The sequence below is a fragment of the Homo sapiens genome, chromosome 7, assembly GCF_000001405.40.
Source record: "Homo sapiens chromosome 7, GRCh38.p14 Primary Assembly".
In the NCBI taxonomy this organism is placed as follows: Eukaryota; Metazoa; Chordata; class Mammalia; order Primates; family Hominidae; genus Homo; species Homo sapiens.
The window spans coordinates 89,429,192-89,447,344 of NC_000007.14; the positions used below are offsets into that span (position 1 = coordinate 89,429,192).

Genomic DNA, 18,153 nt, shown 5'->3' on the forward strand with positions numbered 1-18,153 from the left:
TACAGCTTGTTCACTGTATTTAGCATCGAAAAGTTCATAGCCAGATGGAAACATCTGACGAAAACTAGGAGTGTCTCTTACTAAGCATGTGCCAAAATATGTCTAGGACCTAAATTTATGAATCCTGGGCATAAGCACTTTTAAATAGAAATGCTAATAGATATTTGACTATAGTGTCAAGAAAATCCCTGCTCTAATGAAAATGTTCAGATGTTTCAATAGGCTAAAGCTTGACAAGAATAAGGGATACAGAATTTTGTAGACCCTGCTGGGTTTTTTTTTTTTTTTTTTTCCATTAGAAAAAGAAGGAGAAACCGTGGTATCCAGGCACAGGGAATACATTTCTGGAAGCTGTTTTAGAAGAACACACCAGCAAAAGAACCAATACATTCTAGTTACATTGTAAAATATTAGATGCTTTTATTTTATTCAACTATTACTCAATATAAAATATTGTTCACAGTCAAAAGAAAAGTCATCCTTAAGCCTTTTATTAGAATTTTTCATAATGTTATTTAGATAGACTCCCAGCATGCCTGTTTAAGATTGCCTTACAAAGCAGAGGCAAAAGTCTAGGCTGTCTTGGAAAAAGGGTTAAAAGTAATTTAGGTTTTATTCCAATAATATATACTTCATAGAAATGGACTTCCGAGTCTCGACTATATGTTTATAAAACCTGAACATAAGAATAATTCCATCCCTTTCATCCACCTCACATTTATAAGAAAAATAGCAAATGTTTCCAATTACTTGGTGTTTGGGATGAGTGTACAATGGACCCTTTCATTTTATGAATGTGACATTTGAGTAAGTTAAGTTTGTAGATACGGCATTTCAGCAAGTTTGTTGTACGTAAAGACATTATTGAAATGAGGTTCAGAACATTTGCATTGCAATGTATCTACTTAAAAATACCTTTGTATCCTCATTAAAATCTTAGACTCCATCCCTCCAAAACATACGCACACACACAGACACACACACACACACACACACACAACTAACTTTTCATAGTGTTAGCAACGGGAGAAAAGAAAAGGACAGATAATACCTCATCATTTATTTCATTTTATGGTAGGAACAATACAGAGATACAAAACTATTCGTGAAAACTTCCTTGTTGTCCGGTGTCAACTGAACAAGTTAGATTGCATTTACTGTGGCCTTTAATCACATTCTCCTGAGTTCCAACTATGTGTAATTCCTACTCAGGATACCTACTGGGATGTGTAATGGGCATATCGAACTTGAACATGCCTCAGACAGAATTTTTGATACATTCTACCTGTCCGGAGCTACTGTTCTTTGATTCCCTACCAAATTTTCAGTTCATGAGACCTTTATCAACACTTTTGCAGCCCAAAAATGTAGTGGATAGCTTTGACTCTTTTCTTCTCTACTACCTTCATGCTGCCAGCACTCCCTCTCCCATATAGTTAGTTTATTGGATTGTATTATTCTACCTCCCTTATCATTGTTTGTATGATTTACTACATTTGTCTCCTAAACGAACTCCTTGTTTTCATTCTTGACCTGTTAAAGCATATTCCCTAAAGGCCAGCTAAAGGGATCTGTTTGGAACATATATGTTTATGTTCTAGGCCACTGCCACTTTCTTGATCTAATTTGTCTCACATTTTGCTTTGTTCACTGACTTTCAAACAAACTAGTATTCTTTCTAGTCCATCAGAAGCCAAGCTCCTTCTTCCCTCAGAGTATTTGTACATTTCTTCTTTGCATAAATGCTCTAAATTTACATTTTTCATTCAGGTATTGTATTAGTCTGTTCCCACACTGCTAATAAAGACATATCCAAGGCTGGGTAATTTATAAAGGAAAGAAGTTTAGTTGACTCAAAGTTCCACATGGCTGGGGAGGCCCCACAATTATGGCTGAAGGCAAATGAGGAGCAAAATCACCTCTTACACAGCAGCAGGCAAGAGAGCTTGTGCAGGGAAACTCCCAATTATAAAACCATCAGATCTCATGAGATTTATTCACTACCATGAGAACAGTGTGGAGAAGCCTCCCCCATGATTCAGTTGTCTCCACCTGGCCTCACCCTTGACTTGTGGGGATTATTACAATTCAAGGTGAAATTTGGGTGGGGACACAGCCAAACCATATCAGGTATCAAGTCAAACTTTATTTTCTCTTGAAGGATCCCCCTACTGACTCTCAGCTTTGTCAGTAACCAGTATATCACTATTTCTTCTCAGTAATTGAACATAACTGTCTGATACTAGAATGCCATATTTATCTGTTCTAATATTAATAGAATGTTATATTTATTTGATTTACTTATGGCCCATCTTTCTCTCCATTTGAATGTTAGTTCTCTGAGAGCAAGGAACTCATTTGTTCTGTTCACTGTATATCCAACATCAGGCACTGAGTAAATATTCAAAATTTATTCTTCCAAAAAGTCAGCAAATTTCTGAGATCACCCCAGTCATGACCTGTGATAAACTTTAATGGCAGATATCCATAAGATTAAACGGCAGGTTCATTGTTTCCAGTCAAATACATGCAGCATTTACTTTTGCCTAAAGTATTCTATTGTTTTTTGCTGTGCTTGTCCAAAATTTTATTTTTTAGTAAATAAGTGACTCTTTGTTGAAGCATGACCAGGACAAACTTAATGTCTTCAGCTGGACCATGCTTTAGACAGGCTTCTTCCTTCTCTAGCTAGGCCCACCCAGCCTCTCTTTCCTTATAGCATTTACTTTAGAAAACTTTCAATGGAAAATCCTTTCTCTTCCCTTTGAGATGTAAATTTAAGAGGCTTTTTAGCCTCTTATCCAGGACTGTCTTTTTCGAAGAAGTGGGAGCCATCCCTTTGAAATGTGATTATCAAGAATGATAGTGCCCCTATCTTCCAGTGTCTATGAAAGCTAACTAGAGGGAGCCGTGTTCCAATTTGTAAAACTACTTCCTGTCTGAAGATACAAGTTTACACAAATGGCCTGAAATATCCTCCTTCACCTCGGCTACTAATAATCCTGCTGTTGGTTTCAGCTGAATTGAGTTCAGACTCAGTTCTGGTTTCACTCCCCTTCAACAATAGTGTTCAATAAACTCTTCGTTGCCTCTTTACCTTTCTCCAGAGCCATTTTTGCTTCAGCAGGTTGAATTAACTAACAGTAAAATGCAGGGATCTTAAGTGGCATTTCAAGAAGTTTCAACAAATGTGTGAGTCCATGCAATCCCTATCCCTCTCTAGTTGTAGAATATTCTCATCATCCTAGGAAGTTCCTTCTCATGTGCTTTCTTCCAAACTCCAGCTTCATAGAAACAACTGCTGATTTATTTCCACCATTATGACTAATTCCATTTATTCCAGAAATGCATATGCATAGATTTATACAGGATGTGTGTGCTCTTTTCTTTCTGGGTTAATTTACACAGCTTGATGTTTTTGAGATTTATTCGTGATGCTATTTATACCAGTATTTTATGCCTTTGTATTAGTGAGTAGTATGCCACAGTGTGACTATATCTGTTGGTTGATAGATAGCTGTGGTTTCTCCAGTTGGGGGTTATTATGCATGAGGCTGCTAGGAACATTCGTGTATAACGCTTTTGTTTTATAAACTTACATTTTTATGTTTGGGAGATGAATCCTCAGGAACAGAATTGGGTCATAAGAGAAAATGTAAGTTTAAACTGTTAAGAAACTGCCTAAGAGTTTCCCAAATTGCATTGCTTTACATTTTCATCAACAAAGTATGAGTTCTGGCTGTTTCACATCCTCTCCAACATCTAATGTCAGGCTTTTTAACTGGAATCATTTTAGTAAGTGTGCTTAGTGGCTCAGTATAGTTTTAATTTGCCTTTCTCTGATTGCTAATGATGTTAAGCACTCTTCCGTGTGGTTATTGACCATTTACGTAACTTCTTTTGTAAAATATCTACTTAAATTTTTCCCATTTATTTAGTGGCTTCTTGGTCTATATATTACCTCTTTTATAGTAGTTTTTAGTACTCTGAATAAAAATTATTTGTCACATATTTTCATAAAATATGCTTCTAGAACCTTCCTCCAATACATCAATAACCAACCCTTCTCTGTAGCCCCTCCCTTAATCTATCTATCCAACACCCATTCAACTTCTAAACTTTCAACATACTCATGGATATTAGGTCTCACCTACAAAAGCTCAGGTGGCCTAAACCCAGGTCACCTACATTGGACTCATCCTAACCCCTGTAGATCCAGAAAATCTGAGACAGGTCTCAGTTAATTTAGGAAGTTTATTTTGCCAAGGTTGAGGACACATGCCACTGACACAGTCTCAGGAAGTCCTGACGACATGTGCCCAAGGTGGTTGGGGTGTAGCTTGGTTTTATGCATTTTAGGGAGACATGAGACATCAATCAAGTACATTTAATAAATACATTGATTTGGTACAGAAAGGCGGGACAACTCAAAGCAGGGGCTTCCAGGCTATAGGTATATTTAAACATTTTCTGGTTGACAATTGGTTGAGTTTGTCTAAAGACCTGGGATCAGTAGAAAGGAATGTTTGGGTTGCAATAAGAGGTTGTGGAGACCAAAGTCTTATCTTACAGATGAAGCTTTTAGCTAGCAGGCTTCAGAGAGAACAGGCTGTAAGATGTTTCTTATCAGACTTAAAGTCTGTGTTGATGTTAATGCCAGAGAAGTATAATGAGGCATGTCTGAACCCCACTTCCCTTCATGGCTTGAACCAGTCTTTCAGGTTAAAGTTTAAGAGTCTTGACTGAAGAGGAAGTCCATTTAGATGGTTGGGGGGCCTTAGAATTTTATTTTTGGTTTACACCCCTCAATCTCAGGCCATACCAACCTGACAAAAAGCTAATTTGGGATATGTCCCTTCCTCATACAAAGAAAAACCTCTTCTCCTTCTTAGGCCTCGTGGGATCCGTCCAGCTGTGAATTCCCATCTTCAGCTTACTGACCAAGCCACTCTACATGGCATCATGTGGGTCCATCCTAAAAACCCTGGACCCAGCTTGCCCCATTAACTCCCATTTCAAAAAAACTGAAAAAATGCTCTTTTAATGGCCCCAGCACTGGGACTACTCAACCCCACCAAGCCCTTTACTCTGTATGCTTATTCCAACCAAGGGCTTGCTCTTGGGCTACTCTGTCAGACATATGGCAATGTCCTGCAAGCCACTACATACCTCTCAACATAACCGGACTCTGTCATCCAAGGTTGGCCATCCTGTTTAAGGATTTTGGATGTGGCCATGCTGCTGGCCTCAGAAGCACAAAAACTAAACATCTACTAACACCTTACTGTTGCATCCTCTCATAACCTACAGGAACTCATGAGCCATCACTCCCTCCTTTCCCTACTGCCATCCTGCCTACAGCAAATACATGCCTTACTCATAATCAATCTTTAGTCGCCTTCCAAAGATGCAAATCTCTCAACCTGGCCACCCTCCTTCCTATGAGTACCTCCAACTCTGAACTGTCTCACTCTTGCTTGGACCTTTTAGATTCCCTTTCTTTCCCTTTCCAACACGTAGAAGAAACCCCTAACCTGGGACACCTACATGGCTTATTAATGGAAGTGCTTTTAAGGAACCACATCCTGAGTAGACTACACCATCACTGACAAAAAAAATGGACTCTTGGAGTCCAATCTCCTCCCATCCCATACCACCTCCCAACAAGTAGAACTAGTTGCCCTAACCAGGGCTCTCACCCTAGCAAAAGGAAAGAGGGTTAATATATACACCGACTCTAAGTATGCATACTACATGCTACATTCCCATGTCCTAATCTGGCAGGAAAGAGGTTTTCTGACCACCAAAGGAACCCCAATAGTAAATGGCAGGCTAATAGGTAAGCTGCTGGAGGCAGCTAAACTACCACTAGAGATTGCCATTATCCATTACAAAGAACATCAACGGGCTACAAACACCATTGCTAAGAGGAACACCTTGGTGGATTCGTAGCCTAGCAGGCAGCTCTTAAAATCCCCTGACTACTATCCATTTTTTTCCCAGCATACACCCTGTATATACCCAGGAGGAACAAACCTCACTCTCCCAGGCTGGCGCCATTCAGGAAGGAGAATTCTATCTCAATAACAAAATTCTCCTGCCCAAGTCCCAGGAACCCTCTGTTCTCTCATATGTACACGAGCATTCCATGCCACTTAGTGCCCCCTACTCCAGCTCTTAAAAACTTACATACATTGTCCCACCATGGCTGCCAATCTCAAAGGTATTACTAAGGTCTGTTCCATTTGCACTCAAACTTCCCCCTCAGGGAACCATGAGGCCCCTCCTTTCCCCACACACCAGGCCCAAGTACACCTGCCAGAACAGGACTGACAAATCAACTTCACCCACATGCCCCCTGTAAAACTGGTCCAGTATCTTCTGACAATAGTAAATACATCCACTGGATAAACAAAATGTTTTCCTACTACCACCAAAAAGGCACACACTATCAGTTCTATTCTCTTCACTCATATTATTCCCCAGTTTGAACTCCCCTCTTCCACCCAGCCAGACAACAGGTCAGCATTTGTTTCATAGGTTAACCAACAGCTGGTAGAGGCTCTAAACATCAAATGAGTCTTCCATATCCCCTACCACCTCCAATCTTCAGGTAAAGTTGCACCGGCCAATGCCCTTTTAAAGCAGCAACTGACCAAACTCTCCCTAGAGGTTAAGATGGCCTGGACTTCACTTCTCCCATTGGCCCTCATGTATTTACAAGCCATTCCCTGCAAGCCCCTCAGCCTAAGCCCATTTGAACTCATGTACAGACACCCCTTTATCCTCCAGAATCTCTCTCTATTCCCCTTCTGTCTATATGGGATACTTGGCCAGCATTACACTTCATTAAACATCTAATAAAACACTACGCTAACACTTACTTGCCCAAGCCTGAAGGCTGATCCTCTGAATACTCCTCCCCCTCCCTGCAACCAGGGGACTGAGTCTGGATTGCAGACTCCTCCTCCCTTCTCCAAACTAAGTAAATGGGTCCTCACCAAGTTATCCTAGGTATTTCCATGGTGGCAAATCTAGCATCTTTTCCACAATGGATACACCATTCCAAACTAAAAAGAGCACCAGACCCACATCCAAAAATTTCCTTAACCCAAAGATATTCTTCCTCCCTCAAATCACTGCACTTAACAAGAATTCCAGAGGTTGTCAGCCCTAAAGGCCCTGGCCCATAACACTTTCCATCTCCAATTTTAAATCTTTCATTTGATAACTTGTTTCAGATCTTTCCTGGTACCCCTTTCCCATGTCCTGAAACAGTCCACTTCAATTTCTCACACTAATCCAGAAGCTATGGTTGCAAATCACCTTCCAAAATTTCACTCCTACTCAAATCTCCCTTTGCTCCCTTTGTCTTCTTTGTTTGTGAGATGCTCTAAGTCCCCACCCACAACCTTTGACAGTTGAGCACCCTTTGCCAACCTAATGCACTACCTCCTCAGCCAAGCCCAGTCTCCCCTCTCCTCTAGTTGCTGAATATGCTTATCCACACAAACCCAACAGTTTTCCTGCCATCCCCACAGACTTACACACCTGGACTCAGTCTAGCATGACCCTGCACCTCATATATAAGGCTGTTCCATTTTCTGAAACTTTTTATACCCTCGGCCATCTAAACACCTTCCCCCCACAGACATTTTTTTCTTTTCAAAACTCTAAACTCAGGGCCGTTACCCTCCTATGACTCCTTACTCCTGGTCTATCCCTAATACAGGCAAATTCCCTCAGACCACCCACTGGAAGTTTCATTTCCACCCAGACATCACTCACAGTTCAGGTCCCCCTCTGCTTTTGCAGATCTTTCTCCAACCCCAACCATGGGACTCTGGTGGGCAGTCTACCTCCATCCCTGTACAACTTTACCCTCACTTTCAACCCATGTCAGGATCATCAAAATCACCAAATAAATCACTGAACAGGATCTTCCTCAGCCTTCAAAAATCCACTGCGATTTTCTGCAACCCCCCCTTCCATCTTGGCACCCACTTCTTCCATCTCCTCCCCACCTCTCTCTGTAGGCGAGACTCACATGTACTCAGGTTGAGGAAATCCACTGGAGGGAATGCAATAACTCCTCTCTCTCATGCTTCCTCCTGCCTAGCCCTTCTTCCAACTCACAATGGCTGTTAATGGACAAAACCCATTATTTCCTTTTTACAAAATCACACTTCCTTCACTCCTTCCCCCACTAACATACTTTATCAGTCACTCACCAGAGCTGTCCTTGAAGGTAACTTTTCAATATGGGAGAATAAGAAAAATGTCCAAGAGGGTATAAGGAAAATGGTTGTGCTTCAGTCAGGAGTAGGCTGAGGCAGATATCTGGTACAGCATGACACAGCAGGTTTCGAGTGCAGGTGCATAAACCCCTGCTCTATGTAATCAGATTTATGTAGCCATTTAATGTAACCTGTTTGTGTGAGCTCATATCTGGCTTTGAGTCTCTTTTGTCTGTGAGAAATATAACTGCACTGCTGACTCTGTAGGAGAGAGACAGAATAAAGCCATGTCCCAACTGCCTACAGTCCCTCGAGTGTACTTTCAGCTACCTGCCACCTGTCCACCAGCTCCTCTCAGGCCCCAGCTCGGATTGGAACCTGACAATTGATGTAGTCATCAGGATACAGAGCCATGCTGCTAGGATGGGCTCTGGTGAAAACATGGGTGGTGGTGGATGGGTCCCCTGTGAGTATAGAGAAGGCACTGAAGCACCTGGAAGCATAGAGCACTGAGAAGGAGCACGCCTTTGCCAGCAGAGTTGGATGGGCATTTTTGACTGTGATACAGGAAGTGCATGCTCAGTCCCTGTGGGATGCAGTACAGGTAAGGGATTTCCAGACACAAGCAGGACACCTGGAGGCCCGGATACACAGCTTGGAATGTGAATTAGGGGCTGCTGTCCTCACTCCATATGTGGGGCGTCACATACATGAGGTGACTACTGCCATGGCAGCCCTCAGGGAAGCAGAGGGCCATTGGCAGGACTGGGGGTATGTGCCATAAAAAAGGGGAAAGCACCACTTCTGCAGGGGACCACCTCATGGAACAAGAAGGGGCGCCAGCAGGTTACCCACATGCAGATATGGGTTGATTTAATTTTGGCTGGGGTTGCCAGAGAGAAAATTGATAGGCAACCCAATGAAGTGCTGTTAACTTTGTGGAGGCAATTGTCCCCAAAGCAGCAATTCCAGAAAATGGGGGCAGGATGATGCTGCTTGACCCAGTCTCACCCAGCTGTTCCAGCTCAAGGACTACTTGCAGACAGGTGGTGGTATAGAGCTTTTTGGTTTGATTAGGGAGCTGGCCAAGGTGCCTGCCTTGAGGGGGACACCGGATGACTGAAGGCCACATGTGGAATTGGCAATCCACTGGTGAGCCCTAGACCTACTAGCCGCTGAGAAAGGGGACACATGTATATATCTCCAAGAAGAATGCTGCTTTTATGTTAATGAATCTGCCATTGTTCATGACGCAGCCCGCAGGCTCCTTGATAGGGCCACAGAAATCCAACGTCAAGTCAGAGACTTCTAGTGGCAAGGGTAATCCCTTCTAAAATGGATGATGTGGGTTGCCCTTTTCTTTGGGCCCCTAATCTTTTTCCTTCTGTGACTAACAATTGGCCAGTGCATACTTAATGTTATATCTCACTTCATCTCCCAAAGACTGAACTCTCTTATCCAGGCAATCACCCAGAAATGTATTGATACTGTCCTCCTCCTCCACCAAGTCCATTGTCAGAGCCTCCAGGAAAGCGACTCTGAAATCAAACACCTACCACTTTAAAACCTGAACCCTGATTACAATGCCCCTATTCAGCAGGAAGCAGCCATGTCCCCTTCCTTTTATACTAAAGTAAAGGACAGGAATGTTAGCCCAACCTGTGCCATCTTGTAGACCCCGCCATTTTACACACCCTGGACAGAGTGAAAAATTCCACTGGGTCTGGGCCATGAGAAACATCCTGTTGGGCAGGTCCCAGGACTAAGTGCCTGACCATGGGAAATTTCTCTCTTAGCAGCAGCTACCCACACCACCCCGTCCCATTTTGCAACACTCCCCTACCCATCCAGACCTATAACTGCCCTCGTCTATAAGTGGGGCTTGGGCTTTGGCACTCGCTGTTGTCCCCCTCTGCAAGCATCTTCCTCCAATAAACCTGTGTTGCTGTGGAGCCATGCCTCCCACCCCCTTGTCTCTGTCTCTTTTTCATCCCAACAATTATGAGCCTATATCCTGTCTTCATTCCTGTGGCTTTATTGTAATAATAAAATTCAGATATAGTAAGTACTCGAACTCAGTTCCTCCATTTCAAGATTGTTTTGGCTATTCTAGTCTTTTTATATTTCTGTATGTTTTACAGACCATCTTGTCCATTTTTACAAAAAACAAGCAAGCTAGGATTTTGATATGGATTGTACTAAATCTCTACCCCAACTTGAGGAGTTAGATTTAATTGTGTCTTCCAATACATGAGTGTGATATGTATCTGTATTTGTTTAGGTCTTCTGTAATTTCTCTCAACAATGTTTCCCACTTTTCAGTATAAAAGTAGAGAGACATTTGGTAGACAAGTAGACATTTGGTAAATGTCTAATCACGTTATGGTTTTAGAAAGTATTTTCATATTGTAATTTTATTACATTTCCCAATTATTCATTGTTACTATATAGAAAAACAATATATTTTTATATTTATTTGGTATTTTAAGACTGCTAAATTCACCTAGTAATTATGATTATTTTTTGGTAAATTATTTAGGATATTCTATACAGACAATTATATCATCTACATTTTCTTGTTATCTATTGCAACTTAATTCTCTTTCAGGTAACCAGCCAAGCATGAAAGCCATCCTGTGTCCATTCTTTTATAGAGTAGAGATAGTCATTTTTGGTATTTAGTTCATTCTTTTTTTTTTTTTTTTGCAAACTCTGCTCTCTGATGACCTTAGAAGAAAAAACAAGTATTTTTTTTTTAGTTGGCTTATTCTCATTAGTAGGGGAGGAGAAATTCTCATTTGAAAACTTCTCCAGCCTAAGAGGAAGCAGAAATCCTCTTTTTATTGTGGTTCTTTGTAATTATAAAATCAATATTATGTTTATTATTTTAAAAGTTTGTACAAATACAAAGAATAATTAATGTTATACTAATGGTCCCACCACCAAAAATTAAAAAAAAAATCCTTATAATGCCATTAGTTAATTTTTGTAAGATTAAAGCATTTTAAATAAAATCAAAGAACCACAAACCTGTCCTCACTCCACCCTCCCCTTGTCCTCTTATTCCCAGAGATTTCACTGCTATAAATTTACTGTGTATTCACCTCACACTTTAACCACAGGCATAAAGCAATAAAGCTAATATTACTTCTAAAAAATTCTGCTAAACAGTATCATAGTGTGCAAATAACTCTGTTTTCAAAAATGATACTTTTCAAGATTTATTTATGTTCATATACAGATCTAATTAATTGATTTTAACATATACGCTATTATAAATACATCTTAATTTATCTATTATATATGATAAACAGTTAGATAATTTCCTTTCTTTCCTTTCTTGTTTTTTGTTTTGTGTTATTTATTTGTTTGTTTTGGTAATCACAACCAGAGCCACAATATGCAACATTTTATTAATTTTCTGAAACACATGTATTAGAGTTTCTTCAAGGTCCATACCAGTCTAATAGGAATTTTCTGTGATAATGGGACTGTTCTATGATCTGTGCTGTTCAATATGGTTTCCATTAGGCACAGGTGGCTTCCTGAGCTCTTGAAATATGGGTAGTGAGGCCGGGCGCGGTGGCTCACGCCTGTAATCCCAGCACTTTGGGAGGCCGAGGCGGGCGGATCACGAGGTCAGGAGATCGAGACCATCCCGGCTAAAACGGTGAAACCCCGTCTCTACTAAAAATACAAAAAATTAGCCGGGCGTAGTGGCGGGCGCCTGTAGTCCCAGCTACTTGGGAGGCTGAGGCAGGAGAATGGCGTGAACCCGGGAGGCGGAGCTTGCAGTGAGCCGAGATCCCGCCACTGCACTCCAGCCTGGGCGACAGAGCAAGACTCCGTCTCAAAAAAAAAAAAAAAAAAAAAAAAAAAAGAAATATGGGTAGTGAGACTGAATAACTACATTTTTAATTTTATTATTATTTTTCATTATACTCTAAGTTCTAGGTTACATGTGCACAACATGCAGGTTGTTACATATGTATACATGTGCCATGTTGGTGTGCTGCACCCATTAACTCATCATTTAACATTAGGTATATCTCCTAAAGTTATCCCTCCCCCCTCCCCCCACCCCACGACAGGCCCGGGTGTGTGATGTTCCCCTCCTGTGTCCAGGTGTTCTCATTGTTCAATTCCCACCTATGAGTGAGAACATGGGGTGTTTGGTTTTTTGTCCTTGCGACAGTTTGCTGAGAATGATGGTTTCCAGCTTCATCCATGTTCCTACAAAGGACATGAACTCATCATTTTTTATGGCTGTATAGTATTCCATGGTGTATATGTGCCACATTTTCTTGATCCCGTCTATCATTGTTGGACATTTGGGTTGGTTCCAAGTCTTTGCTATTGTGAATAGTGCTGCAATAAACATAATGTGTGCAAGTGTCTTTATAGCAGCATGATTTATAATCCTTTGGGTATATACCCAGTAATGGGATGGCTGGGTCAAATGGTATTTCTAGTTCTAGATCCTTGAGGAATTGCCACACTGTCTTCCACAATGGTTAAACCAGTTTACAGTCCCACCAACACTGTAAAAGTGTTCCTATTTCTCCACATCCTCCCCAGCACCTGTTGTTTCCTGACTTTTTAATGATCGCCATTCTAACTGGTGTGAGATGGTATCTCATTGTGGTTTTGATTTGCATTTCTCTGATGGCCAGTGATGATGAGCATTTTTTCATGTGTCTTTTGGCTGCATAAATGTCTCCTTTTGAGAAGTGTCTGTTCATATCCTTCGCCCACTTTTTGATGGGGTTGTTTGTTTTTTTCTTGTAAATTTGTTTGAGTTCTTTATAGTTTCTGGATATTAGCCCTTTGTCAGATGAGTAGATTGCAAAAATTTTCTCCCATTCTGTAGGTTGCCTGTTCACTCTGATGAAGCAGGTTTCTTTCGCTGTGCAGAAGCTCTTTAGTTTAATTAGATCCCATTTGTCAATTTTGGCTTTTATTCAATTAGGAAAAGAGGAAGTCAAATTGTCCCTGTTTGCAGATGACATGATTGTATATCTAGAAAACCCCATCGTCTCAGCCCAAAATCTCCTTAAGCTGATAAGCAACTTCAGCAGAGTCTCACGATACAAAATCAATGTGCAAAAATCACAAGCATTCTTATACACTAATAACAGACAAACAGCCAAATCATGAGTGAACTCCCATTCACAACTGCTTCAAAGAGAATAAAATACCTACGAATCCAACTTACAAGGGATGTGAAGGACCTCTTCAGGGAGAACTATAAACCACTGCTCAATGAAATAAAAGAGGACACAAACAAATGGAAGAACATTCCATGCTCATGGGTAGGAAGAATCAATATTGTGAAAATGGCCATACCGCCAAAGGTAATTTGTAGATTCAATGCCATCCCCATCAAGCTACCAAAGTCTTTCTTCACAGAATTGGAAAAAAACTACTTTAAAGTTCATATGGAACCAAAAAAGAGCCCACATTGCCAAGACAATCCTAAGCCAAAAGAACAAAGCTGGAGGCATCATGCTACCTGACTTCAAACTATACTACAAGGCTACAGTAACCAAAAAAAGCATGGTACTGGTACCAAAACAGAGATATAGACCAATGGAACAGAACAGAGCCCTCAGAAATAATACCACACATCTACAACCATCTGATCTTTGACAAACCTGACAAAAACAAGAATGGGGAAAGGAATCCCTATTTAATAAATGGTACTGGGAAAACTGGCTAGCCATGTGTAGAAAGCTGAAACTGGATCCCTTCCTTACACCTTATACAAAAATTAATTCAAGATGGATTAAAGACTTAAATGTTAGACCTAAAACCATAAAAACCCTAGAAGAAAACCTAGGAATACCATTCAGGACATAGGCATGGGCAAGGACTTCATGTCTAAAACACCAAATTTTATAAATTTTAAATAAACATAATTTAAATAGCTACATGTGGCTGGTGTCTACCATATTTAGAGAGTACAGGTCTATTCCAAGGAACAGAATTATTAGATAATCAGGTATGCATATTTAAGCATTACTAGCTAATGTAGAATTGCTCTCCAGAATAGACTCCAATGTTTGTTTTCAACTGCCTGTAATATGCAATGATCTATTTCCCCATCTCCTTGGCTATATACTTAGTTTTATTAGTTTATACATTTTTTAGATAATTTGATGAGTATAAAATTGTATCTCATTAACGGTTGATTTGTAATTCCCTTTGTGGTGCTGTAATACTCATACATCTATCAAGGACTCTTTTTTCCTCCCTTTAAAATTATCTACTTATTTTTTCTTTGTAAGCGTCATCTTTTTTTCATTGTGGGAGTTCTTCATAAACTTGTCATTTTACTTGATAAAAGGTCATACTTAAAAGTCTGAGGCTTCTCATTCACTTGAATCTGTAGTCTTTTGTTACATAGTTGTTTAAATTTTTGATACATATCTATATTTTCCCTCATTGTTTCAAGTGTTAGTGCCTTTCCTAAGGAACCTTTTCTTATTATGATGTCACAAATGTATTCTGCTATGTCTACTGGGAGAATACACTAGTGGGGATAGTTCTGTGTATACAGTGATTAAGCACATAGGTTCTGGAGCCAGTCTGTTTCTTTCAAAATCACCTCATTGCTTTTGAAGAATCAGGTAAGTTAGTCAACTTGGTGTTTCAGTGCCTTTGTCTGTAATGACAAAAAAGATAGAAATGACGATATTAATAATACTTACCTCACAGAATTGTTCTGAGGTTTACACGTGTTAACAAAATGGAAGAGTTAGTACAACATTCAGCATGCTATGTTAGCTATTATCATTCTAAATGTTTAGCTGTGTTTTCTTTTTTTGGTTGGTTACTGTACATATATTATATGATGAATCTGTTCTATCATCTTTCACATGCATATCCAAATAACTAAACATTCTTCAGATGAATAATGTATATTATTTTCATCTTGAAGTTTTTGTCTATATAATTTTAGATATTCTTTTCTGTTCCATTGCTTTCTCTATTTTTGTGCCAAAACTGTTATTTTATTTAGCATAAACTTTATAGCAAGCCTTGAAGTTCTGTTCAGCAAATTTTTCTGTGCTCTTATTTTTTTTTTGTCTTAAAATTTTTTTTGGCTACTTAATCCTTATAATTCTGCCTATTAGCATTGCATCAGTTTGAGTTTTGTAATGACATTAAAAAGGTATTTATGATATCAGTATTCCTCACCATAGGATATTTATTCATCTTTAGTTCATTTTTATGACCTTCAAAAAGTTGTTTAATTTTTCCCATAAAAGCTTTGTAGATATATATATATTTAAAAATACTCTCTTTGGTGGTTTTTTGCTATTTAAAGTAGGTTTATACTGAAATTATAATTTTAATTGTCTGCAATATATGTAGAAAATTATTACTTATAGTTGTATGTTAACCTTTTCTACAGGCATTAATGGTTATAGCTAGGATAAACATCCCATTGGGTTGCAGCAGCATCTGGTTGTACTTAAGCTTTATTACTGGCACCTGAAAATTTTCATTTTTTTTCTTTCTAGCTCAGCAATGTATTTAATTTTTTAAAGATATGGTTTATACTATATTCTTCCCAGAAAAGAAGAGAAGTCTGTTGGTTTGGGTCCATTCTTTCATAATGTTTGAACTTAAATTCTCTATATAAATTTTAAAATTATTGATTCATGTTCCATAAATAACTGAAGATTTCCTTCTTCTTTCATAAATATGTAAATAATTTGTAGCTAATTATCTTTTCAATATTGAATGTTCTTCTCATTAAAAATAATATGTCCCAAATCATACAGATATTTATGTTCATAAATAACATTTTGTTCTAGTTATTTCCCAGTTAATATTTTTTAATTATTGTATATTTTCCATCTACTATAGTATAACTTGGTTATTTCTGATGGACAAGAATGAGGTTTTTTTTAGATGTAAATCTTCAATCCAATGTATTTGGTCATAGAACTGTGAGTTAACAAATACTGTTTTAAGCTATTAAGTTTGTAATAATTTGTTATGCAGCAATAGAAAACTAATACAATTGACTTGCTTCTAACTTTAATAAGTTAAATGCTCTACAATTATGTCAGATGTTTTCTTTAGGATCCTAGTAAATATATTTTATCAAATTAAGAAACTTTGTTTCTGTTTCTCATTTATGATTGTTTAAATTAAAAATCAATGTAAAATTATGTTTAATGCTTTTCTGCATCTGTAATATAATCATATCATATTTCTCTTTTGATATGTTACTCTGGATATTAGTAGTGTTTCATTTTCTAATACTGAATCTGCCCTGCATTTCTGGATCATGATTACATTTCTATTATTCTATATTAAGCTAATAATATGTACTTGTCACTTATCTCTAGAATCTACCTATGATGAGTGTTTTCTCTTAGTTTTATATCTTACTGGACATTATTTGAATCATCTTAAGGCACTGGGTAGAAGTACTTAGACAGGTATGCTCAGGTTGATATCCCATCCAGAAGTTGTAATAATTTTCTTGTCAAAGTTCATCTTTGCCCAAGGGCCTTGAAGTGAATAAAAACTATGGCAAGATACTGCCATAGGTTGGGGTTTTTTTTGAGCAAGCAGATTTGAAAACAGTTGAGCACACAGTTGAGCATCCACTAACACTTGTGGAAGGGAAGGGAAGAAAGCAGGATTGGGCAGAGTAGGAAGTGAAGCTACCTGCAGTCCCAATATCAGTGTCAGCCTGGGCAGTTCTTGAGTTAGAATGGCCATCCAGAGTTGTCTAGACTGCACGTGAGCCATCCCAGGAAGGACATAACCTCGCGGAAAGTGGCTTTCTGAAGCTGAGACAATTCCCTGAAGTGCTGACATCTGAAAGCTGTCTACTGTCAGCACTCCCAGCAACTGGGACACCAAGTCTTTCCTTGAAATGAGAGTTGGGTTATACCCAGAGTATCCACTACAGACATGTATGAAGAGACAATAAAACAAAACTTCTGCAGACTTGAATGATCCATTCAGGCAAGGACAATGCTGATGTTGGCTGTCCTAAATGGGATGGCCTGGCACTCTTGAAAAATCTCAAATACATTAAAAGGAACCTTGTGTATTACCATAGATATAAACATATTATGCATTGCTTTGTATAATGCACCTCTTGCAGAATGACTATCAGATATTTTCAGTGTTTAGAGTTTCTTCCTTCTCTGAAATGTGGAAGGCTTATCATGGCCTAAGTAACCTTCCAGCCAATGAGAGGTAGGAAATTATTACATATCCTGAGCCATAATTATTCCAACTGCAAATTTTATAAAACAAAAGTAAATATCTTCTGGTATGTGAGGTTTTAGCTGCAACAAGGCTCTCCTCCAGTGCCGTGCCACCTGGATGGTATAGCTTAGGATCTGTGCAGACAAGAGAATGTCAAGTTTCTCTCCAGCCCAGCTCAAATGGACAAAGAGGTCATTTTATATTTTATCACCTAAGAATTTGATTTGAAAAGAGGATCAGAAACCACAGGAAATTTGATTTATGCCAGCCCTGCATCCAAGGTACCCACAGAAGAATAATATACTTGTTTTTATGAGATAGTACTGATCCAAATGGGGGCACAATATAAAAATGGCTTATGGTTTGGCCACAGGGTCAGTCCAAAGGTCAAAGCCTCAAGTACAGTTCATTTGTTAGCAGATTTCAGAACAACTAATTTCACCTGTATTGGATTTATTTTTCCAGCCTCTTCAAAACCATTTTGTTTAGATTTATATCACAACTTCCCTCTCTTTTTTTCCATTTATTAAATTTGAAAAGCTTTCCAAATACTGTTTCACCAACTTGTACCACTATACAAGTGACAAAACTTTTATTAAAACCATTTTTTTTTAGAGTAAATCTGGAAAATAAGGAAGTAAAACAATTACTTTGGGTCTGAGTTTTGATGGATAAT

At 38.9% G+C, this 18,153-nt stretch overlaps 1 long non-coding RNA gene across 14 annotated transcripts in view; it reads left to right on the forward strand.

Annotated features, from left to right (window-relative positions):
* Window positions 1-14,738: 14,738 nt before the first annotated feature.
* LOC105375387 (uncharacterized) overlaps window positions 14,739-18,153 on the forward strand; it is a 52,989-nt gene continuing 49,574 nt past the window's right edge. For all 14 annotated transcript variants that reach the window (NR_187914.1, NR_187924.1, NR_187919.1 and 11 more), the window contains exon 1: window positions 14,739-14,866. This is a non-coding gene — a long non-coding RNA (uncharacterized LOC105375387). The remainder of the gene's footprint in view (window positions 14,867-18,153) is intronic.